Here is a 24,140-nt window from a genome sequence, read left to right on the forward strand (position 1 = left end):
ATGGAGAAACTCTGTCTCTACTAAAAATACAAAAGTTAGCTGGGCGTGGTGGTGCGTGCCTGTAATCCCAGCTACTCGGGAGGCTGAGGCAGGAGAATCGTGTGAACCTGGCGGGTGGAGGTTGCAGTGAGCCGAGACTGCACCACTGCACTCCAGCCTGGGCGACAGAGCGAGACTCCGTCTCAAAAGAAAAAAAGTCTGGGCCGGGCGCGGTGGCTCACGCCTATAATCCCAACACTTTGGGAGGCTGAGGCAGGCAGATTACCTGAGGTCAGGAGTTTGAGACCAGCCCAGCCAACATGGTGAAACCCCATCTCTACTAAAAATACAAAAATGAGCCAGGCATGGTGGTGGGTGCCTTTAATCCCAGCTACTCAGAAGGCTGAGGCAGGAGAATTGCTTGAACCCAGGAGGCAGATGTTGCTGTGAGCCAAGATCGAGCCATTGCACTCCAGCCTGGGCAACAAGAACAAGACTCTGTCTCAAAAAAAAAAAAAAAAAAAAAAGAATTCTGTTTCCCACATAGCCACCTCCTCTATTTCTTTGGGTTAACATGAAGAAAAGTAGCAGTGGCCTACTCCCAGAAGGGTGTAGGGTCCTCAAGGCAGGAGGGGCGGTGGAGCAGCTGGTGGGTGAAGCCCTCACACTGCCCCGAATCCCATGGGGCTGGGGCAGGGCCTGTGGGCTTGGAGAGAGCTGGAGCCAGCAAGCCAGATGGCCTGGCTGCAGGCGACTGTTTATTTCCCCTTTGGCATCGCAGGGATCCTAATCCAGTCTTTTTTTTTTTTTTTTTTTTTTTTTTTTTTTTTTTTTTTTTTTTTTTAGAGAAGTCTCTCTCTTGTCCCCCAGGCTTGAGCGCAATGGCTCAATCTCAGCTCACTGCAACCTCTGCCTCCCAGGTTCAAATGATTCTCCTGCCTCTGCCTCCCAAGTAGCTGGGATTAAGGCACCTGCCACCACGCCCGGCTAATTTTTGTATTTTTTTTTAGTAAAGACGGGGTTTCACCATGTTGGCCAGGCTGGTCTTGAACTCCTGACCTCAGGTGATCCACCCGCCTTGGCCTCCCAAAGTGCTGGTATTATAGGTGTGAGCCACCATGCCTGGCCGATCCTAATCCAGTCTTGATTAAAGGTTTTGGTCTGCTGCTGGGTGGGCAAAGGGGAGTGAAGGGAAATTAGAAAGAATGGTAAAGAGGGGGCAGCACCCTGGGCCCCCAAAGACACATGGTGGTAGTGTGGCAATGAGTGTGGACGCCCTAAAGAGGGTCTGGGAGACCCTCAACAGTTGGAGCTGTAGGGGCCTCTCTCTTCACTGTCAGCTCTGAAAGATCAGGCAGGGATTTTTATGTAGGGAGCTGAGGCTGGTGGGCTCAGTGGGTAACGGAGTGGGGTGGGAGGCACTAGTCCATTGCTATCCATTCTGGGGATCCACCTGTGGTTTAAGGAAGCAGCTCCACCTCATCCGGCCTCTCTCGCAGGCTGCCTAACTCCAGGTCTATCATTCTTGTTGCGCAGTACATAGCCTACACTCCTCTACGTGGCTGCCTTGTCTGGGAAGAAGAGGCACCTGATTTTGAGGCAAACACAGCCCAACTGATCTTTGCTCTGGAGCCTAAAGGCTGGTCTCGGTCCACTTTAGTGAAGAACTTATTTTCAGGTTGAACTAGCACATACTCAGCTCCTTTTATGTGCCAAGCTCACAGTAGGTGATCTTTCTTATCAGAACCTCCCGTCTCCCAGTGCAATTTCTGCTACTTTTTTTTTTTTTTTTTTAAACAATCTTGCTCTGTAGCCCAGGCTGGAGTGCAGTGGTGTGATCTTGGCTCACTGCACCCTCCACCTCCCAGGTTCAAGCAATTCTTGTGCCTCAGCCTCCCGAGTCACGGGAGGATTACAAGTGTGTGATTACAGCTGGGATTACAGGCATGTGCCACCACACCCAGCTAATTTTCGTACTTTTTGGTAGAGACAGGGTTTCAACCATGTTGGCCAGGCTGGTTTCCAACTCCTGATCTCAAGAGATCCACCTCCCTCAGCCTTCCAAAGTGCTGGGATTACAGGCATGAGCCACCGTACCTGGCCTCTGCTACATTTTTGAGTTGGAAAGAAATTTACTTGCTTTATTGATGGAATGACCATATTTATATTCTCAATGGCAGATGGTGCATTTACAAAATTTATGTCAGTTTTGCAGTCACGTCTGGCTTGCAATGTCCTCTCTTTGTCCCTTTGAGAATGGTTGGGACATTTGGATTGGTACCCAATACCCTCTGTGTGGCCCTGTTGATGTCCCTTCTCACCCTGGTGACTCCCTGGCTTCTAAGCAGTCACTCAAAGGGTCTCTGGGCCCTTGGCTTTTAGCCAGCCTAGGAGGAACCAATGATTCAAGGAGGTTCTCTAGCATTAGGGGCTAGGGCTAGGGCTGGAGACTTGGTGGGTACCCAAGTGAGAAAGTACCCCCAGCCCATCCCCACTCCTTTAAGGGAGATCTTGCCCTCTGAATTTCAGCTGAGATTTGGGACTCTCCTCCCTACTCATGTCTGCTTGCTGGAGTTGCCTATGAAGCTGGAAAGGCTGTGGGCCTTCTCATCAGAACTGGGTTCAGCTGTTGCTTTTCTTGCTTACTAGCTGTGGACCTTTGATAAGTTTCTTGCTGTCTGTTTTTGCATATGTGAAATGGGATTACAATGCATGCTATATTATAGCTTGAGGTTTACAGGAAGTAAAAAGCATCTTTTCACTAGGCACGGTGATTCATGCCTGTAATTCCAGCACTTTGGGAGGTTGAGGCGGGCGGGTCACTTGAGCTCAGGAGTCTGAGACCAGCCTGGGCAACATGGCAAGAATTTACATTTAAAAATTTTAAAAATTTGCCTCTACAAAAATTTAAAAAATTTACTGGGCGTGGTGGCGTGCGTGAGTGGTCCCAGCTACTGAGCCCAGGAGTTTGAGGCTGCAGTGAGTTGTGGTCATACCACTGCACTCCAGCCTGGGCAACAAAGTGAGACCCTTTCTCAAAAAAAAAAAAAGGTATCTTTTCCTTTCCTGAGTACCTACTGTTAACCTGGCCTGTGAGCACTTGGCATTTGTTAGGTCTTGTGACTTGTACCTGGCACAAAGTAGGTCCCCACTATTTGCTGAATGAATGAATGAATGAATGAATGGGTTGGTGTCATGAGTGTACAATCTAGGCAGTCATATCAGAAGGGACCTGCGCTTGGTTTAATGCTTTGTTTTCACCATCTTGAAATGTTTTAATAATTTTTGAATGAGGGGCTACACATTTTCATTTTGCTTTGGGCCCTGCAAATTATGTAGCCAGTCCTGCCTCTTCATCTTATCCAGTGGACCATATCTAATTCTACCACATCATACCCATTCTACAGATGCATAAACCGAAGCTTGGAGTGGTGAAATGCACAAAAGTACTCAACCTCTAAATTGCAGACCTGGGCCCAGACATGGACCTTCATAAATGGAGCCCATTTCACTGGGGTGGTGGCCGTGTTTCTGTGGGCTGCCTGGGCTGGGCCCGTGAGTGGACAGGTTACGGCTCAACAGACTCAGTGGCCTTTCCCCTCTGGCTCTTAGAGGCCAGGGACTTGGAGGATCTCACCAGTCTATCACAAAACTTTCAGTTTTTAACGAAGCAGTGAAAATGGCCTTCTGTCTGCCTCTTTGTTTCTTTCTTATTCTGGAAGACAAGTGAGAAGGAAATGGGAAAGAAACAAAGAAGAACAAATGTTATGGAAAGTTAGTGGCACCTCCCTCCTCAGCCTGAGCCAGGCCACAGGGACAAAGGCGAATGTCAGAGAAGAGCAGCACCCCCACCCCTAACCCCAGGCCTGGGGCCTCTGGGTGGCTGAGTGTCCACAGCTCTCTGACCAGTGCTGAAAATGAAAACTCAGGACAAGCTGATCCCCACTGCCCAGAACAAAGAGAGGCTGGTGCATCTTAGTCACTGCTAATTTCTGGCAAATTACTGGGCTCGGGAGCAGGACTGCTCGTAAAGTTCCTGGTTCACCAAGCTGGAGGCAATTTATTCAAAGGGAAATCAGGCTGCATCTGCTGAGGGAACGAGGAGACAAGGGAGCCTCTTGCACGCTTGTAATGTCTGAGCCAGATCTTAGATTCACCTGCAGCAGGCCCAGCCCTTTTCCCCAGCCTGGTTTTTATGCCTTTGGAGAGGTTTGCAGAAGGATGCTCAGAGGGCTGATGGGAGCTCGGGAGGGTGTGTGTGCGTTCTTTAAAAAATAATAAAGCCCTCGTCCACGCCTGAGGCTGAGCGCATCTGAAAGGAGTCGTGGGTGGGAGGAAATTGCAAATGTTTTTTTTTTCAGCCTGAGATGGAAGGCGTTGGAACTGGTTCCCAAGGAGAGGAAATGCCCTGTGGGCTCTTAATTCCAAGGTGGCTGGATTCACACACACACTGCAGGTGCTCAAGGCAAGAAGGGAGCATTGGGGTCCAGGAGGGCATACATCTTGGGGCTGGAACCCTTGGGAGGGTAGGGGGAGAGAGGGAAGAGGAGATGTCTTTGCCTTCTTAGGCCTCAGTTTGCCCCGCTGTAAAATGGGACATGGGAGGCTGGACTACAATGGTTCCTTTTAGTGTGGACATTCTGGATTCTGAACCTAGAGAAAAAGGACAGGTGAGAAGAGGAGGTTCTTCCTGAGCCCTAATATGTGGACAGCACTTCAGTTTACAAGACTCTTTAAATCCATCATCCATTTTTTTCTTTTTCATCATCATTATCATGGCAGACATACAGAAGAGGACATACACAAATGGAAAGTGTATGAATAACTGTAATTGTAATAATCATAAGGAAAACACCTGTGTAACCAACAACCCAGGTCAAGCTTGAATGATAGATGATACCAGCCTCCCCAGGTGGCCCTCCTCACTCACACTCCCTCTGTCTCCTGGGTACTCACTGCTTTACTTTCAGGAAAATCATTTCCTTTTCATTTTTTCAAATTTATTTTATTTTATTTTTTGTTTTGAGACAGAGTCTCACTTTGTCACCCAGGCTGGAGTGCAGTGGCGTAATCTCGGCTCATTGCAACCTTCGCCTCCCAGGTTTGAGTGATTCTCCTGCCTCAGCCTTCTGAGTAGCTGGGATTATAGGCATGCCACACTACGCCCAGATAATTTTTGTATTTTTAGTACAGACGGGGTTTTACCATATTGGCCAGGCTGGTCTCCAACTCTTGACCTCAAGTGATCCACCCGCCTTGGCCTCCCAAAGTGCTGGGATTACAGGTGTGAGTCACTGTGCCTGGCCCATTTCCTTTTTTAAAAATGATTTTGCTATGTATGCATCCTTAAATAATAAAGTTTAGTGTTGCCTATTCCTGAACTGTATATAAATGGACTCATATAATATGTGTTATTTGTGTTCAGCTTCTTTTACTCAAAGTCACGGTTGTGACATTTGGCTGTTACACAGATGAAAAAAATGAGGTCCCAGAGAAGATAAACGACACATCAAAGGTCACATAACTAGTCGTGGCAAAGCTGGACATGAGCCATGCCTTCTGCCCACTCCACTACCCAGAGTGACCAGCTGTTGGTGGTGACTTCCATTTCCAGCAATATGGTGGACTAGATAGCCTGAGAACAGGAGAGATGGTCCCTGTGGCTGAGCCGAGATCACAGGCCCCAGATGGGGAGCCTCTATCCCCTGTGCTTCATGGTAGGGTGCCATACCTGGAATCATCTCCCCACCGAGACAAAAAACATGGCAGGGAGGTAATTCCCCAAAAGGAAATGGGAGTGAATTAGAAAGGGGATGGATGCTGGACAGCCAAAAACAACATGTCCCTTTATTTGTCCTGTGCAAATGAAGGACAGTCATTTTTAATTTTTCCTGTCTCACTTCTTAATATACAAGTTAGGACAAAGTGTCAGAATCAACCCCTAAGAACATGTCAGGCATCCTCGTCTCTCAGATCAACAGTTAGCAAATGAAGCTGATGGAAACATTGATTTTCTGAATTTCTTCTCCAAGCTTTGAATTTTCTCCTCACTCTTGCTCATGAAGCTGACACAAAACTAACATAAAATCATGGCATTTTATGGCAGCTGGATGCCCGCAGGGCCAACTTTTCCAGCTTCTGCTTGGACAATTGTTCTTTCATGTTACCTCTGCCTTTGCCTGGACCCTCAACTTCATGCCAGAGACCTCCCCAGTCTTGAACAACACCTTGAAAAGCGCTATTAATCAAACAGCTTCCAACAGGGGCATAAAGTGGTTTCCTCATATCCTCTTAAGTGGAGCCCCTGGCAAGTCATTTACATCCTAGCATGCAGAGAGGGTCAGGTTTTCAGAAGAAATTAGCAGCTGGGATGAGATTTGTGGGGAGGGAGAGATTCTTGTCTGAAGAGGGGAGATAGGAAGGGAGAGGAAATGAATATCTGAACAAATTAGACTGGTAGAGCCTGGGGTGTGGGAATGGCAGCCTAGAAATCACAACACGGGGGTCCAAGTGTTTAGGGAGGGGGCAGGGTGGGCAGAATAATGGCTTGGCCCAGCCCCTGGGATAGGGCAGGTCCTCTAGGGTGCTCCTGACATAGCCTCTTCCAGGAGGGCACAGAGCTTTCTCCAGGGACCCCCCAGCCTCAGATGGAGCAGCAGGCACTGGACTGGATGTTGGGGAGCCCTGGAGACATGTGTGGCGCTGCTGTAAATATGCTCATGTCTTAGGTCATTTGAGGCTTACAACCACCCAGCACATTTTATTGGCATCATTATTTTATCTTGAAAGAGAACAGTGCTGTTCCCTTTTGCCAGGTGGGAAAATAGAGGCACAACGATGCTTGAAGCTGCGCCGTGGCAGAGCCAGGATGTGAAACTCTGGCCACCTGGCTTAATTTTTTTAAAAAGGTTAAAAAATGAGGGGATGGGACTGAGCAATATCCACGGTCCTTTCCCATTCCACCATCCGAGTGGCTGATGGTCTTGTCTATTGGCTTTCTTGCAGTCTAGGGTCACATAGGGCAATGAAACAAACCTTACAAAAAAACAAGCTGCTTTGTAAAAGATGAGCCTGTCAGGCTAACCCGATTTCCTTCCTTGAGATCATGAGATTATGAGAGAACAGCCAGGTGGCCTGTGGAGTGCGGATGTAAGCAAAGGGTCCCAGGAATCTCCCCTGCGTTTTGTGCCTCTCTGAACCAAGCATACGCTGCCTCCTACCTCTAATGCTGGGGGAGCTCACCCTACCTCTCCAGGACACACCACCCACTGCCCAGCCCACTGCCTGGCCAGCACACACCATCAGAAACACCAGTGAGAGGACTGAAGACAGGCCTCTGCCATCCTCTCGCCATTGAGCAATACCAGGTCTGCATAAGGTGGGGTCCACCCACACAGAGTCAAGTAACCCAATGCTTTCATTGGCCTGATTTAACCCTGGAGACTGCTTAAGCAGAAAAGCAAAGACAAGTCATAGAGGGTGGCACGGAAGAGCCGCCCGGTCATGCTGGAAACAAACAAGGCCCTGGGGTGAGAGAGAGAAAAAGGTGGCGCCAGCTCTGGGGTTAAGCTCTGAGTGTCAGGATTGAAGTTATGGTAGTGCTTGGAGCCCTTGGGCTTCCCCGTTCCCTGGAGAGATGACACTGTCAGCTTGGGAGGAGCCTGCCCAAGTCCACGTAGCTCATGGGAGGGTGGAGCGACAGTTCAGGCAGAATCTCTGGAACCAAGTCTAGTGCTCATTCCGCCTGCCTACATGCCTTCTCATCTGGTACCAGTGCAGGAAGCCATACCCTCTGCGACACTGGTTCCAGCACCCAGGAGGCCCCATCTGCAATGCCAGAAACAGGAGACTCAGAAACAGGAAAGTGAGCTTGTCCCATTTTGCAAGGGAACCTTCTGTGATGGTGACTCAACAGCAGCTGCATCCCCTGAGTTCTCAGAACTCCTCCATCCAGAAACAGAGTGCCCAGGAGTAGGACCGGCTTGGCAGCTCTCTGTGCCTCTCCAGGGCAGGGGGACACGCCTGGTCATGGCCTCAGGTGCCTCGGCTAGCAGGCCCCACCTTGGCAGCCTGTGTTGTGTCTCCTGGGAGTGGATGTTTCCTAAGTGCTCCACTCACTCTCCCAGTTCCCCTGACACAGTGACACAAATGGAATGCTCATTACACATGCATGACAGTGCTCATGACACAGGTGAGTTCATTTACATTTCACAATAACTCACTGAGGCTGATGGGGTATTGCACAATAGCATTTTACCAGTGAGGACTCTAAGGCATAGCAAGGCTAAGTGCCCTGCCTGTATTAGTTAAGCACAACTAGTAAGCGGCGAAGCCAGGATTGCAAACCCAGACAGCCTGGTTCTCAAGTCCATGACCCCAACAACTGCACTGTAAAGGAAATGAAGGAAATGAGCTTTCCCAGAGCGAGGTTCCCTCCTCCTTTCTCCTTTCTGTGGTAATTTCACTCACTCAGGACTGCTTGCTTGCTTTCCTTTCTTTCTTTCTTTCTCTTTCTTTCTTTCTTTCTTTCTTTCTTTCTTTCTTTCTTTCTTTCTTTCTTTCTTTCTTCCTTCCTTCCTTCCTTCCTTCCTTCCTTCCTTGGTTTTTTGTTTGTTTGTTTTGTTTTGAGCCAGGGTCTCTCTCTGTCACCTAGGCTGGAGTACAATAGGTCAAACACAGTCCATGGCAGCCTTGACCTCCTGGGCTCAAACAATCCTCTCACCTCAGTCTCCTGGGTAGCAGAGACCCACAGGTGTAAGTCACCACAATGGGCTTATCATTATTTTCTATTTTTTGTAGAGATGTGGTCTCCCTATGTTGCCCGGGCTGGTCTCGAACACTTGGGCTCAGATGATTCTCCCACCTCAGCCTCCCAAGGTGCTGGGATTACAGGGATGAGCCACCATGTTGGTCACCATTTCTTTTTAAGAAACCACCCCTCTTCCATCCCATGAGATCAGTGGGCGGGCACAGTGCTCAGGCTGGACCAATCAGACTCTCTGGGTGCCTGTCACTTAGGCTGAATGACAAAGAAGCCTGAAGTCCCCCTCCCAGTGGTGCCCTCCAAATCCGCACTTCTGACAAAGTTTTCTGAAACTGCCTTTGTTTCTTCAGCTTTTCTTTAACTTCTATAACCTATCCAGTTTGTTCCTAATAAATGGCACTTTTTTCCTCTGCTTGTGAGCCAAAATTAGGTTCTACAATTCAAGAACCCTATGGATACGACCATCACAGAAGTGATTTGCCTTTCATTTTGTATACTTGATTTATTTTTTAATTTTTAATTTTTGTGGGTACATAGTAGGTATATATATTTATGGATACATGAGATGTTTTGATACAGGCATGCAGGGCGTAACAATCACAGCATGGAAAATAGACTATCCATTCCCTCAAGTATTTATTATCCTTTGTGTTACAAACATCCAATTATACTCTTCTAGTTTTTGTTTTTGTTTTTTTTTAAGACAGAGTCTCACTGTGTCACCCAGGCTGGAGTGCAGTGGTGCGATCTCAGCCACCACAACCTCTGCCTCCCGGGTTCATGTGATTCTCGTGCCTCAGCCTCCTGAGTAGCTGGGATTACAGGCATGCACCACTATGCCTGGATAATTTTTGTTTTTTTAGTAGAGATGAGGTTGTACCATGTTGCCAGGCTGGTCTCGAACTCCTGACCTCAAGGGATACACCTGTCTCGGTCTCCCAAAGTGCTGGGATTACAGGCGTGAGCCACCATGCCCGGCCTCTTCTAGGTATTTTTAAATGTATAATTAAATTATTTTGACTATAATTACCTTGTTGTGTGGTCAAATACTAGGTCTTATTTATTCTATTTTTTTTGTACCCAACATTTCATATGCTCTAGTGGGCACCAAACATGTGTCCAAACAGGTCTAGATTCAAATGTAGATTCTGCCACTCATTAGCTGTTGTGATCTTGACGAAGCAACCTCACCTCTTCCAGCTTCAGATTCTTCATCTGAAAAATGAAGATACAACCTGGTTGTACCATTATAAGGAATATTCCAGGAAGAGAAAGAGCAGGTGCAGAGAAATAGAAGTACGAGAGTGTTTGCCTCAGGCCACAGTGGCAGGTTTCATGAATGGCTCCCACTCTTCAGCCCTCCCTCTGTGCACACCCTTTGCCATGTAACTTTGCAGTGCCCTCCTTATTGTAGGTGGGAGGTACTTCCCTACCTCTTGATTTTGAGATTTAACCTTAGCCACGTGTTTTGGTCAACGGGGTGATAGCAGATATGGCTCAAGCAGAGACTTGCAAAGGGCTTGCAGGACTGAGTTTCCTCTCTTGTGCCACTATCATTGCCTTCAGGTGGACATAGCCAGGATAGCCCACTGGTCCCAGCAGGAGGCGGGAGACGCATGGAACAGGGGCATCCCCAACTGACCCAGCCTAAGGCAGCTGATCACCTAGATCAAAGCTCATTAGAGATGAGGAGAACCAGTCAAGCTCAGCCTGAATCAGCCAACACCCAGCTGACTGACAGACATGTGAGGAATGAGGAATGATTGCTATTTTGAGCCACAGAGATTTGGGATAGTTCATTATGGAACAACTGCTAACAGGTACATAAATTGGTACCCAGAAGTGTGGTGCTGCCATAACAAAACTTAAAATATGCAGCACTGGTTTTTTAGGACTGGGTGGTAGGAATGAGTAAACTATTAGGGGAGGCAGGAAAAATAGCAAAGAAACTGCAATTGGAGGTGGAAGAAGAGGCAACCCCATTGTGTAATAGGGAATTATTAGCTAAAATTGTTGTCTTTAGTAACTTATTGGGAAATAAGTGTATCTAATGAACTCTTGGTCTTGGGCAAAGAGATTTCTAGGCAGAATACTGAAAGCATCCTTTGGCTTTTATGGTTGTGTTTGATAAGGTACTGCAAAAAAAAAGAGATGACTTCAGAAAATAACTGCCTAGTTTGAAAGCAGTATTAGAAAGAATATAGAAAAGGCCCAGTGTGGTGGCTCACACCTGTAATTCCAGAACTTTGAGAGGCAGAGGTGGGCAGATCACCTGAGGTCAGGAGATCAAGTCTAACCAACATGGCAAAACCTCATCTCTACTAAAAATACAAAAATTAGCTGGGCATGGCGGCGCTTGCCTGTAATCCCAGCTACTCGGGAGGCTGAGGCACGAGAATCGCTCGAACCCAGGAGGCAGAGGTGGCAGTGAGCTGAGATTGCACCACTGCACTCCAGCCTGGGCAACAGAGTGAGGCTCTGTCTCAGAAAAAAGGAATATAGAGAAGTTTGAATGTGTTCTGTTGATATGAGTTTTAGCACATGGGGTAGAACGGAATTCAAGATATAGGGAACCCATCAAATTTTTAGAGTGTTATGTTGGCAAAAGGACTCCCAGCCTGCATGAAAAAATACCAAGGCTGTTTAAAATGCAAAAAGACCTCTGGGTAGGAAGCAGTCTGAAAAGATTGCCTAAAGGATGTGTTTTACAATGCCTTCAGAAGTGACTAAGGAGGGTGATAGAAAAGGAAGAACATCGCAGAGGCTGGAGCAGGAGCCATGCAGAAAATGGAGATGAACCTCTCTCTGGATGGAAATCTGGGAGCTAATCAGGGAATATTACCTACCGCCAGGACAAAGGCAACTGGAAACATTTTCCTAGCAGGATTTCAGAATTGCTATGGACCAGTGACGGCTATGGGCCTCTGTTTCTTCCCCTGTTTGAGTGGCAATGTTTACTGCAGGTAAGGTGGATAACTTACCAACAGATCTCTGGATTACGAGGAGCTGCATCTGAACCTGATGAGACCATGAGAAAGTGGATTTTGGCTCGATGCCATTGGTTGCTTAGGGGTTGTTTTGGAGTCTTGTGATGGGAGAAAATGAATTTTGCATACTGGAAGGACCTGGATAGTTGGGGTCATGGGCATGGAGTGTGGTAGTTTGATGACATTAATGGACGCAATTCTTCACCTTTCCCTATAACTATGTCCTTTGCCATGTAACTTTGCAGTGCCCCCCTATGGTGGGCAGGAGGCAGTTCCTCACGCTTTGATTTAGCCTCAGTCATGTGACCTGCTTTGGCCAATGGGATGTTAACAAACATGACACAGCACTTGCATGATGGAGCTTGTCCCCTTGCACCTCTGACATCACCGTAAGAAGAATATGCTCAGGCTAGTGTCGTGATCTATGGAGCAGGACAAAAGCAGTAGAACCACCTCAAGCTGGCTAGCTGCAGACATATGCATGAGTCCATAAACCCCTGAAGAACCACCAAACCAACCCAGCGTAAGTCAGCCGACCCCCAGCCAATGCATAGACACATAAAAAACAAAAAATACATGACTGCTGGTTTAAGCAACGGAGTTTTTTTGTTTGTTTGTTGTTGTTTGTTTGTTTTCTTTTTTGAGACAGGGTTTCACTCTGTCGCCAAGGCTGGAGTGCAGTGACATGATCTCAGCTGACTGTAACCTCCACCTCCCGGGTTGAAGCGATTCTCGTGCCTCAGCCTCCTGAGTAGCTGGGATTACAGACGTGTGCCACCACACTTGGCTAATTTTTGTATTTTTAGTAGAGATGGGGTTTCACCATGTTGGCCAGGCTGCTCTTGAACTCCTGACCTCAAGTGATCCGCCCACCTAGGCCTCCCAAAGTGCTGGGATTACAGGTGTAAGCCACTGGTCCTGGCCTAAGCAACGGAGGTTTAAAGTGATTTTTAATGCAGCAGTTCTAACTAATATAGACACAAAGTGGAATTTTTCTCCACGTGAGGCTGCTAGCCACACACAAAGATGAAATGAACTCCTTTGTCGTGTAAGAATCTCTCCAACGCTGATCACTATAATAGTAACAAAAGCTGCCACTTATTGAACTCTCATTTTGGGCTCTGTGAGAAGTGCCACGTATATATTATCTCGTCAAATTCTTGCAACAGCCTTAAGAAGCGGGTATGATTATTTCCATTTTACAGATAAAAAAAAAAAAGCCCTAAGGCTCAGAGAGGTTAAGAAACAAAGCCAAGGTCACGTAGCGAATAAGTGGTAGAGTTTGGATTCAAGTACAGGCTGGTCTACCTCCCAAAGCTATGCCAGAGAGGTGGCACAGGCACTGTTGTTAATGGGGTTTCTTGGGAATAAGTGGCCCCATTCTTCAGGTCAAACTATGGGTCACACAGTACTTGTTGGTTTTGTTTTTCCAATATAATTTAATATAAGAAACTTACAGTATTCAATATAACAATTAAACACTTGCCCAGTCCAAGTCCCCTTTTCTCCCCGATGCCATTCCCTCTGTTTTGGAGAACTGAAAAGATGAGAAGGAGACACCAGGATAACACAGAGGTGGAACCTGCAGGAAGCAGCAGCCACCCTTACATCAGGGAACAAAGGGAAGTGTGGGAGTTATCAGAGCCTCACAGCTGGGAGGAAGACCCTGCAGAACAGGGGCCTTGTCTGGCATCTCTCAGGGGAAGCTCTTATTTTTTTCTTTTTTTTCGAGACAGAGTCTCACTCTGTTGCCCAGACTGGAGTGCAATGGCACGATCTCGGCTCACTGCAGCCTCTGCCTCCTAGGTTCAAGCGATTCTCCTGCCTCAGCCTCCCAAGTAGCTGGGACTACAGGTGTACACCACTATGCCTGGCTAATTTTTGTATTTTTAGTAGAGATGGAATTTCACCATGTTGGTCAGGCTGGTCTCGAACTCCTGACCTCAGATGATCCACCCACCTCGGCCTCCCAAAGTTTTGGAATTACAGGTGTGAGCCACTGTGCCTGGCCAGCTCTTATTTTTGACAGTGAACAATGCCAAGGACATCAAGGAACACAGCTGGCTGGTTGTGGGGGGTAGGGTGGACTGGAAATATCCAGTCTGGAACCCCACTTTTTCCACATGCAAAGAAGATGCCCAAGGAGAAGGAATGGCAAGAGGGAGAGAATGGGAGTTGGATCGGGCGTCGGAAGACAGTCAGGATTTGGATAATTGAAGACATCTGAAAGAAGAATTTGCTCATCCAAGGTCCTGGAGCTAGGATGGGGCAGGGCTGGGACTGAGCACAGACCCAGGTATGTGTGCTTCTCCCTCCAATACTGCGTTGTGGGGAACTCTGCCCTGGCACCTCCTGCCATGGCGCTGGGCATAGGCCTGTCCACCCTCTGACACAATGCCCATGGGCACCTGCAGCCCTGGGTGAAAGCCTCCTAGGGAGGGGCAGGTGACAGAGTGGTGTCCTGAGTTGGCAGAGTGTGGTGGTCACAGCTTGGGCTCTGCAGCCAGACGACCTGGGACCAAATCCTCACTGTGGTACCCACTAGCTGCATGACCTCAGGCAAGTCACTTAACCTCTTTTATTTTTAAACATTTTATTTTGAGAGAATTTTAGATCTACAAAAGAGTTGCAGCAAGAGTTCCCATATACTGTTTGCCCAGTGTCACCTAATGTTAGCATCTGACATTACCTAGTGCATTCATCAAAACTAAGAAATTAACATTGGTACACTGCTATTAACTCCACTCCAGACTTTATCCAGATGTCTCCAGTTTTTCCACCAATGTCCTTTTTCTGTTCTGGGATCTAATCCAGGATACCAGCTTGCATTTAGATGTCACCTCTCTTCAATATCCTCATCTATAACATGGGGAGGATGGTAATGACGGCATCAATCCCATGGTCCTGCTGTGAGGAGCAAGCGACTGCTCACAGATGTACTGCATTAGCTGGTGCCTGGCACAGAAAAGTGTTCCATTAACTAGAGGCCACGATCCTTATGCTTAAGCCCTGTGATATTGTCTCATGCCCTCTGAGAGCCTATCTTGGAATGTGAGCCCAGGCCTTGCCCACTCACTCAGGGCCTAGGTTATTTTGTGCCCCTCTGGCAGGCTGGGTGGGGTGTCAGCCAACCCAGCCACTATCACTGAGGCCCACAGGGGCACTCCCTCTCACCCTACAAACTGGCCAGGGGTCTGGGGCATTGGCTAAGGACCTGCTTTGGAATTAGGCAGTCCTGGATTCAAATCCTGCCCTCCCCAATTAGTCCCTCTGTGAACTCAGGCAAATCAATGAATTTCTCTGAGCCTCCATTGCCCCTGCCTCCCAGGGTGGCTAGAAGAGAGGGTGGTTGACAGTAGATGTCAGCCTCAGGCAGGGTACACAGCAGCCTCCCTATTTTCTGTAGCCCACTGCCATGCTTCCCAGGGCGAGCTCTCCCCATGCTGTTCTGCAGCTGGGCTCGCCAGGCTTGGTGCCTGCTCGCACTTATGTGTCCACATTTGGACATATGGCCTGGCTAATGGGGAACCCAGTCTGCCCAGTCTGCAGTTCCGTCTCCTCTCGCTTCCCTCCCCACCCCTTACTTGTCCCCAGCTGATGCTTCTGCAGAAAAGCCAAGCCAGGCCATCAGGACCCTCCCTGAAGGGCGGTCTAGGGTGGCACGGCCATATGCGCCACCATCCCGGTCTCCTCCCAGAGCCTCTCCAGCACCACCCTCGATTAGGGCTTCTGGTTGGCATCGTGACTTGGAAAGGAGGGACGCAGGCTGCCGGAGACCATGCTCTGCTGCTCATCTTCTCTCTGGGCTCCTGTCCCAGCTCCAGTGTCTCCTATTTCGGCTCTGCATCCTACCTTCCCACCCCCCTGGCATGCCCCAGTCCCCTCGGACCCTGAGCCTATGAAATCCTGACTACAAAAATGGTGAGTGTGTGGTAGCAAGTGTGTGAAGATTCAAAGCCTGCCTCTGTCACTTCCCAGTGGTGTGACCTTAGGCAAATCCCTTAACCTCCCTGTGCCTCATCTGTCAAATGGCAGTAAAGATTGTACCTACCTCAAAGGGTTATTGAGAGGAGTAAATTAATTAAGGCAAGATGCTTTTATTAACTGATCGCATTAACGTACAGTGCTTAGAACGATGCTGCAGAGCTGATGTTATCATTGTCATTAGCAGGGCTGATACTCAGAGAGGTGGTGGGCAGCTGGAAGAGGAACTTCTGGTTTTGGTTTCAGATAAAACCAGAGCTCTGGGCCTGTATCCTGGCTCCTTTACTTCCTAGCTGTGTGACTTTCGGTCAGTCACTCAAACACCCTTGATTTCCCTGGTTTCCTCATCTGTAAAATGGGGAGGAAAGCAATAACCACCTTGTAAGTTGTTGGGAGGGTTTGATGAGATGATGCGTGAAAGCGCCTAGCACAGAGCCAAGAACAACCCGCAGGCCCTCAGTGGATACTTGGTAGATGGCAGGAGGATGGGTGGAAGTCCCTGCCTTTGCCTGCAGCATGGGATTTCAGACCTTGGTTCTCATCCTCAGAAGGGGCTCCCCGAAGGCCTGGGCAGGGGAGGGCCCTGGTGTCTATGGGTTCCTGTCCCAGCTGCAGAGTTCCCCAACCGGAGCCCACAGGACCAGTCACATCCTGTTTCTCTTTTAGGCACCTTCTTTTGGGACCCAGCGCCCCAGATAGTATCCTGCTATTCATTTAGCTTATGGTGGGTGTAGGGTGGAATGTTTAGGTAAAACTTCACAAAGAGCTAGACTTCAGGTGGGCCTTGAAGAACAGTAAGTATGCCAACAGGTGGAGAGAAGGGGGCGGAGATGGTGTTTGCTGTACACTGGCTGCATTTGTGGATCCAGAGAAGGGCCTCTGCACATTTGTGCCCTTTGCAGTGAGGCTCTGCTGCTCCTCTCCACCTTCTGGATCTTGGGTGGCCTCAATACTTGCTTTAGCAGGGAGAAGTGCAGCAGAAGTGATGATGTGCCAGTCCTGAGCCTAAGCCACGAGAGGCCTTGCAGGCTGCAACTGCCACCTCAGTGTACTTAAGCCTGGGCTAGCTTCTTGGAGCATGAGAGGCCACACAGAGCAGAGCCAAGCCAGCCCAGGTGTCCCAGCTGAGGACCTGGACAAGTGGGAGAGCCCAATCTACACCCCAATCTGCCAGCTCACCACAGATGCAGACACATGAGTGAGACCAGCCAAGGTCAGAACTGCCCTGCTGAAGGAAGCACATGCTCTTAAGCCACTGGATTTGGTGGTTTATTGAGTATCACTGTGACCATAGGCAACCGAGACAGTGAAGGTAGAGAGAATGGAGAGGCAAACATGCAGAGGAGGGACAGTGTGGGAGTGCCTGGTGGGGGATGAGAAGCCCAGAATTTCTGATTCATACGGGCCTGATGGCAACCCCAAGTTCCCTCAAGCCAGGAGGTCTGAAGCCTGTGTGGCCAGTGACCTGCCCGCTGCCGAATGATGGATTAAGCGCATGTCTGATGTACCGAATTGGCCACCAGACTGCTGGTTGGATGTCTGCCAGGTTCCCTCACAAGCAGGCCTGCCTGATATGTTTTCTCAGCCTGTTTTTTCCTATTTGCCAGAGCCCAGGCCTTTGAAACTGCTATCACAAGGCTGCTTCCACTTCCCCCCGTGGATCCTGGTGGAAGTTTCTTGATGTTGAGCAAGAACTCCCAGAAACTCCTGGAACCTGCTTCTCAGCCATGCGCGCCGGCGCAGCCCTGCTGTGTGGCCTTAGGCGCCCCTCTCCTGCCCCCGGGCCTCCCTCCACTGCGTGACCGGCCACATGGCCATGGCTGCTGCTCTGTGCCTGTCTCCTCATCTGTGAAATGAGGATACAGTCATGGACCTCATGGCGGGGGTGCGGGGGGAGGATGGTGGTGGACGGAGGCGGGGCAGGGCCTTGGACTACTGTGTGCAGTTTGGATTCCTCCAGGCTTAAAATCGGCTTCCATCCCCAACTCTCCAGCTCCCCGTCTCCACCCAGGCCATTTGAACGATCTTGTTGAAAAGCACAGTGGTTTCCAAAGCAAATCCAAGTCTTGTGCGGCTCTGGGCTGAGGGTCCCACGCTTTTCACCCAGACCTATAATCATCACAGATGTTTAGAGGAGGTGGTAAGTACAGAGCTGCATGCTTTATTTCTGCTGACCCAGGCCCCCACCCTCCTCCCTCCTGGGTACCAGGCTGCCTCCCAGGCTAGCGGGGCTGGTGCCTCTGTCTCCTCCTAACACTCCTGAGATTTGCATCCCCGCAGACGCCAGGCGCGGCGCTGCCCCAGGAGGTGGGGTGTTTAGAACCCGCTCCCCGGGCTCGCCCAGGAGCTTTGTGTTTAGTAAAGGCAGCAGTCAGTTCCCTGGTAGGCTCAGGGAAGGACGACAGCTCCCGGCTCAGTCCTCAGCCTCCAACCCCCACTCTTCAATCTCCTTCCCAGACCAATGACCCCCTCTGCGGGAGAACCTGCGGCGAAAGGCAGAGCCCCAGAGCAGGGTCTGGAGTGGCAGGACCGGCAGCCAATGAAGGTGAAGGCCGAGCATTACATCATCACCGTGGTCTCCCATTGGTTTACATCCTGGGCTTCCTGACTCCGCCTCCCAGCCTTAACAATGGGCCTCTCTGCTCCCCAGGCTTCTGACCCTGGTGCCAGCTTTGCCCAGAAGGCCACAGTCGGGCAGAGTCCTGGGCTAGGCGGGAGCCCGAGGTCTGGGCTGAGCCACTAACTAGGGGTGAGGCATAGTGTTGCCAGGTGTCATCTTCCTCACCTGCAAGAGGAGAGGGTTCCAGCTGTTAATCTCGGGTTCTGCCGCAGTTCACCCACCACCACACACTCGCCCATGAACGTCCTCCTCGCAGACCCCGGGGACCCTGGCCGGCCAGGGGTCTGGTCTGCCATGGGCTCCCTTTCCTCCCCAGAGCCTGGCAGGAAGTGAACATATGGAATGATGGTTAATGTTAACTGATGTTTTCTAAAGAGCACACACTGGGCTAAGCCTTATACATTATTTTATTCGTGTCCTAAATATTAGCCCCCCACGCAGCCCTAATTGTTCAGAGACAAGCACTGACTCTGAGGCTGGGCCAGGTTGAGTGATGGCCAAGGCCACGGACCTGGTGAGGGGGACAGTCAGGATTCGAACCCAGGCGGCTGGCTCCAGAGCCCTTCAAACGATGCCATGGGAATGGATGGGGGTCACTAGCCTCCCTATTGTGACTCGTTTGAGCTCTTAGCCCGGCGTGTAGTCTGGCGGGAGCCGTCCCTGGATGGGGGTCACTAGCCTCCCCATTGTGACTCGTTTGAGCTCTTAGCCAGGCGTGTAGTCTGGCGGGAGCCGTCGCGGCTGGCTCGGCAGCTCCAGGCTATTCCGAGGAACAGTCTTCAGAGAGCCTGGGGTGCTGATGGGGAAAAGCTGTTGCTGAGATTTGACAAGTTTGGTCCTGAGATGTCAGAAAGGATTTCAGCTCTTCTGCCACCCCAAGGACGGTGGCGCGTAAATCACAGTGAGCTGGCTTATGTCAGGTCAACTGTGGAATTTGATCCTAGCGCATTGCTCCCTCCTCTTCCTTGCCTGCGTCTCTCCCTCTCTCAGCTCTAGTTTGAGATCAGCACAGATTCCCTGGGTGATTTTTGAGAAAACTGCCTCCTCTTTAGGACTTGGCATCCCCTAACCTGCATCAGGAAAGGGTGGCGACAGATACTCTCACACCCAGGGAGGCTGCAAGGCCCACCCTCTACCCTCCACCTGGGTTCTCTGGCGTCGAGACTTGTGCCCTACAGTTCTGGGCCGTTGGGGTGATGTCCCAGTGGGACCAGGGTGAGGGTGCAGGTATCTGAGGGAGTAGTAGGACCAGAACCTCTAACCTTAGGGAGGCTTCCTGGGAGCCAAGCTTGGTGACTTAGAATGTGAATGTCTGACCCATATCCCACTACCTTTTGGTGGGTGCTGCAGAGGACAATGGAGAGAGAGTCAACTCTGAAGAGTGGTCTTGTGGAAGAGGCAGCTGGCTGGTTCAGTGTGGCACTGGCAGCCTCCCTAAGGTTCCCAGGTAGAAGTTTCTGACAGGTAGATTTCAGCTGTGTTTAAGGAAGAACTTTGAAGTTGTCAGAATGAGCGGTCTTGTGATAGTGAGCTCCCTGTCTCCAGAGGCATGCAAGCAGGACACTTTCACATATGCATTCAAGATGACCTATGCAAGGCGTTGTGCTAAGTGCTAGGAGTGCAGAGGAGAACGAGACCCAGTGGGGAAACAGGCACTTGCAATGCTGCTGTGAGTGTGAGCAGAGGTCAGCGTGGGCATCTGGAGCACAGGGAGGGAGTCCTGAAGGCTGGGTTGAGGATGAGGATACAGCTCATTGCTGAGCCTTATGGTGAACCAGAAGTTTACCAGGCAGACAGGAGCTGGGGAGAGGGCTGGCATTCGTCCATTCAGGTTATGTTTTCTGAATTATATATAGAAGGACATGTTGCAGAAGAAATGCAAGTACAGTGAAGAATAAGACTGGGGAACTTTTACAATTCAGAGTGGCCTTCACTGTGGGCGGTCCGAATTGATCCCTGTATACAGGTGCTTCTGGGGTGACATTTTCCCTGCTCCATGGAGCTCCGGGAGGAGTGCGGACCAACCCCTTCTTTGCAGGCCTGTCTGTGGGGTGCCACTCCTCCTCCCACCTCCCCACTGCACAGACAGCCCATCAGTGTCCCTGAGCTGCTCCAGAAGGATGCAGCTCTGAGGAGGCTCTGGGAGCGGTGTATCCTAGCAACCTCTGAGGCTGGCATCTGCAGGGCTAGGCCCAGACTCAAGGCTCTTTCTAATTTGCCAGCCTTCCCTTAATGATAAGCTTTCCCACACGGATGTGGAGTGGGGAGGAAGAGGGGAGAAGTGGGCAGGAAGTGTTGCCTCCAACCCCATCACAGAGTAGGTCAAGCCTCGCCCACAATACTGCCGGGGATGGGGAAGGAGGGAGGGCACAGTGAGTCCGTTAACTGAATATGCCACTTGTCCATCACCGTGGCCGGTTTATCACCATTTAGAGGACAATGAATCCAGGCAGTGATCCACCAATGATAACTAACATCATAAAAAGATACATGGCCGGATATGATGTTCCTTCTGACGGAAGACCACAACACCTGCTGAAAAATCAAATCTGAATCGGATCAAGCCTCTAGAGGTAACTCCCAGCTATAGGAATTAGAGAACTGGGGGGCATGTTAATATGTCAAGGTGTTTAACCCTCACCACAGGGAGGCGGCCAGATTTCCTCTCAGGAAAAAAGTTACAGGTTTCATCAACAAAGTGGAAGGAAAAGGAATAAAAGAAAAAAAAAACAAAACATAAGGAGAATTTATAGATTAACAGAAGCTTAAGAGAAATATCAGCCAATTACAACATATGGACTTTGGATTCTGATTCTTGCGAACAAACTACACTACAGTGACAATAAAAATGAGACGTATTCATGAGACAATTGGGGAAATTTGAACACTGAATGGATACTTAACATCAAGGAATTGTTTTTAATTTTTGAGCAATGTGAAAATCGTGTTTGGGATTATGCTTTAAAAGAGTCCTAATTGTTGAGGGATTCATACAGAAACATTTATCGATGAATTAATGAGGCCAGGCACAGTGGCTCATGCTTGTAATCCCAGCACTTTGGGAGGCCGAGGCAGGCAGATCACCTGAGGCCAAGAATTAAAGACCAGCTTGGTCAACACGGCAAAACCTCATCTCTACCAAAAATACAAAAATTAGCCGGGCATGGTAGCACACTCCTGTAGTCCCAGCTACTCGGGAGGCCGAGGCATGAGAATTGCTTGAACCCGGATGAAGCCTGTTCCCAGCTACTCGGGAGGCTGAGGCATGAGAACTGCTTGAATCCAGATGGAGGAAGTTGCAGTGAGTGGAGATCGCGCCACTGCACTCCAGCCTGGGCGACAGAGCAAGACTGTCTCAAATAATAATAATAATAATAAAGATGTCTGGGATGTGCTTTAAAATAATTCATTGCAGAGAGAAGAAGGAAGTAAAAGTTTGGATGAAACAAGGTTTGCCCTGAGCTGATTGATCACTGTGGTAGCTGGGTGATGATGGGTGCATGGGGATCATGATACTACACTATTAATTTGAGTCTTACAAACTCGCGATTATTTCACCATTTTTGACTTTCAAAATGATTTAATGTGGTGCAAAGCAATCCTTTGGTGTACGCTGGAAATTTTTTCACAATAAAACATTCTTTTCAAGCAAAAGGTGAAGGGCAAACCTGCTTTTGCAGGAGGCTCTGCTCAGGAAAGAGGTACCCAAGACTCACACTAAAATCTGTAGGGCTGTCATTAAAAAAGCCAAAAATGACTCTCAGAGGCAGCTGTAACTTGCATGAATTATTTCTGTTCAGATAATAATAATAGTAATAGCAATAACGATGATAATAATAATAATTTACTGGTTGCTGTCAGCAAATGCTGAGCAACATGCCTGGATATGTTGGAACTGCAGAAGATGGCTTCATTAATGTCTTAGTTGCTCAATAAGGAACAATAAAAAGTTAAAGGAATCCAAACAAGCAGTAGACCAGGCATTGAATGGAAATTCTTCTTGCTTGCAGGAGGCAGCACCCAGGGTCATTCCTGGAGCATAAACGATCCCTGCAGAACATGGGCTAGAAGACCCCACAGTGGGGCAGAGGCAGGTCCTGGACTGGGATCCCAGCAGTGAGAAGACCTGGACATCAACCCTATTTCATTGTGCCTCTGCAAATCTCCCAACTTTTGGAGCTGTAGCTGCAAGCTCAGACTTGTGGTTTCCTGTACCTGGAGGAGGCCCAGGTCATTCTGTTAAGTCCCTTGTCTATTTCCTGCTTTTATCTGGATGCTGAGTTAATTATTTGATCCAACAATAAAACTAACAAGGTTTTATTTGTTTTTAATGTCTTCTCTTTGCTGAACGCTGTGCTGGGTGCTGTAGCTGACATGGTTTTTGTCTTAACAGCTCATGAATCAAATCCCAGCTCCACCTTTTATAGCTTTAGACAAGCATTTAACCACCACTTGGGCCTGTTTCCTTACCTGCAAAGTGGGGATAATGACAGTTAATAGCTACTTCATTGTGACTTTGTGAGGATTAAATAAGATACGGCAGATAAACTACTTAATAGGGTCTGGCACATTGTAAGCCTCAATAAATGGCAGCTACTTCTTGTATTATTATTATTGTATAAAACTATGAGTGTTTAACAATGAATATATAGTAAACTGTGATTCTGAGTGATGTATGATGTAAGATATCCTCCAGGACTGGTGTCACAGGGAAGTCTTGCACTAGACCTTGAAGGATAAGACTCAGAAACTGCTAGATGCCCCCCATTACTGACTATCCCCATTTCCTTTAATAACAAAGCTGAGACTACATTTCCTAGCCTCCCTTGCTGCTAGATATGGCCATGTGATTAACTTCTGGCCGAGGAAATGGATGCACAAGTGTTATGTGGAACTATTGGAAAGGCTGCTTAAAAGGAACTGGTTGAGTGGGAAAGAGAATCCCTTTGTCCCATTTCTTTCTACTGCTGGTCTGGAATCCTGATGTGATGGCTTGAGCCCCAGCATCCATGCTCGGGAGTGAGTTAAGGGTTTCTTAATAAGACCTTGCATATAAAAATATGCACCAGGGATGATGGAGCATGATGGAAGCCTGGGTTTCTGATGACAATGTGGAGTCACTATAATGTCCCTATCTCCTTACTTCATGTGGGTATGAGAGAAGTAAGCTATCTTGTTGAAGTCCCCCTTTTTGCTGTTAAATGCAGCCAAGCTTACTCTCAGGGATGGTATTGAAAATATTTAACAGCCAGAATGGCACGGGCACTGATGAGGAAGGGTTTAAGGTAGCAGAAGGCTTAGAACCACAGATATTTACCAACCAGTATGAAAGTATTTAAATATTTTAACAACCAGCTTAGTCATAGCAATACAAAACAGCTGAGAACCAGCTGAATACTAGCCCTGCCTAACCTTAACTAATACAATCCATAATATTTGGGAATAGCTAAAAAAAAAAAAAAAACCAAGAAGATGGCCATTCAGGCCATGGGTACAGCCTGAGTAAAGGTTTAGAGGGTGAAGGGAGCTCCATGAGTTGATGTACAATGAGAACTGGAAATCAACCTGACTTGGTGGGAAGGTTCTCTTGAGTGTGTGTATGTGAGTGTGTGTGGATTATAAGAGGGGCTGGAAGATATCATTGGAAATAACACCAAAGAGGTCAAATAAACCAGACTGTGGAAGCCTGTGAGGATTTAAGGCAATAAGGAGGATTTGTGGGCTTTTGGGTGAGTAAGAGAGCAGATGACCCCTGGGAGTGAGGAATCTCGGCTTTGCAGTGCCAGGCGGTTTTTCAGTTAGCACT

At 48.8% G+C, this 24,140-nt stretch overlaps 2 long non-coding RNA genes across 3 annotated transcripts, besides 6 other annotated features; one reads left to right on the top strand and one right to left on the bottom strand.

The window, feature by feature from the left end:
* Positions 3,080-3,843: an enhancer, noted in NCBI's record as "NANOG-H3K27ac-H3K4me1 hESC enhancer chr14:90905675-90906438 (GRCh37/hg19 assembly coordinates)". NCBI's record gives its function as "activates a minimal SCP1, AML or CMV promoter by ChIP-STARR-seq in naive H9 embryonic stem cells {active_cell/tissue: H9 hESC(naive)}" and the evidence as "EXISTENCE:reporter gene assay evidence [ECO:0000049][PMID:30033119]".
* LINC02317 (long intergenic non-protein coding RNA 2317) lies at positions 15,812-18,866 on the bottom strand. 2 transcript variants are annotated; one of them, NR_146492.1, is made up of 3 exons: positions 18,846-18,866; positions 18,500-18,653; positions 15,812-16,062 (listed from the first exon to the last, which is right to left on the bottom strand). It is a non-coding gene; the product is annotated as a long intergenic non-protein coding RNA 2317 (long non-coding RNA). The 2 variants fall into 2 exon arrangements; NR_146493.1 differs by lacking the exon at positions 15,812-16,062 and adding an exon at positions 16,964-17,823.
* Positions 16,296-16,345: an enhancer, noted in NCBI's record as "active region_8882". NCBI's record gives its function as "activates an Ori minimal core promoter by ATAC-STARR-seq in GM12878 lymphoblastoid cells {active_cell/tissue: GM12878}" and the evidence as "EXISTENCE:reporter gene assay evidence [ECO:0000049][PMID:35858748]".
* Positions 17,610-18,227: an enhancer, noted in NCBI's record as "H3K27ac-H3K4me1 hESC enhancer chr14:90920205-90920822 (GRCh37/hg19 assembly coordinates)". NCBI's record gives its function as "activates a minimal SCP1, AML or CMV promoter by ChIP-STARR-seq in naive and primed H9 embryonic stem cells {active_cell/tissue: H9 hESC(naive and primed)}" and the evidence as "EXISTENCE:reporter gene assay evidence [ECO:0000049][PMID:30033119]".
* Positions 17,610-18,845: a biological region, named in NCBI's record as "H3K27ac-H3K4me1 hESC enhancers GRCh37_chr14:90920205-90920822 and GRCh37_chr14:90920823-90921440".
* Positions 18,154-18,448: an enhancer, noted in NCBI's record as "tiled region #3433; HepG2 Activating DNase matched - State 10:DNaseD, and K562 Activating DNase unmatched - State 4:PromP". NCBI's record gives its function as "activates a minimal TATA promoter and a strong SV40 promoter by Sharpr-MPRA in HepG2 and K562 cells {active_cell/tissue: HepG2 | K562}" and the evidence as "EXISTENCE:reporter gene assay evidence [ECO:0000049][PMID:27701403]".
* Positions 18,228-18,845: an enhancer, noted in NCBI's record as "H3K27ac-H3K4me1 hESC enhancer chr14:90920823-90921440 (GRCh37/hg19 assembly coordinates)". NCBI's record gives its function as "activates a minimal SCP1, AML or CMV promoter by ChIP-STARR-seq in naive and primed H9 embryonic stem cells {active_cell/tissue: H9 hESC(naive and primed)}" and the evidence as "EXISTENCE:reporter gene assay evidence [ECO:0000049][PMID:30033119]".
* On the top strand, positions 18,979-22,654 carry LINC00642 (long intergenic non-protein coding RNA 642). The gene is made up of 4 exons (NR_033986.1): positions 18,979-19,127; positions 20,191-20,300; positions 20,768-20,907; positions 22,345-22,654. It is a non-coding gene; the product is annotated as a long intergenic non-protein coding RNA 642 (long non-coding RNA).
* The last annotated feature ends 1,486 nt before the right edge of the window (positions 22,655-24,140 follow it).

This window comes from Homo sapiens, chromosome 14 (assembly GCF_000001405.40).
Source record: "Homo sapiens chromosome 14, GRCh38.p14 Primary Assembly".
Lineage (NCBI taxonomy): Eukaryota > Metazoa > Chordata > Mammalia > Primates > Hominidae > Homo > Homo sapiens.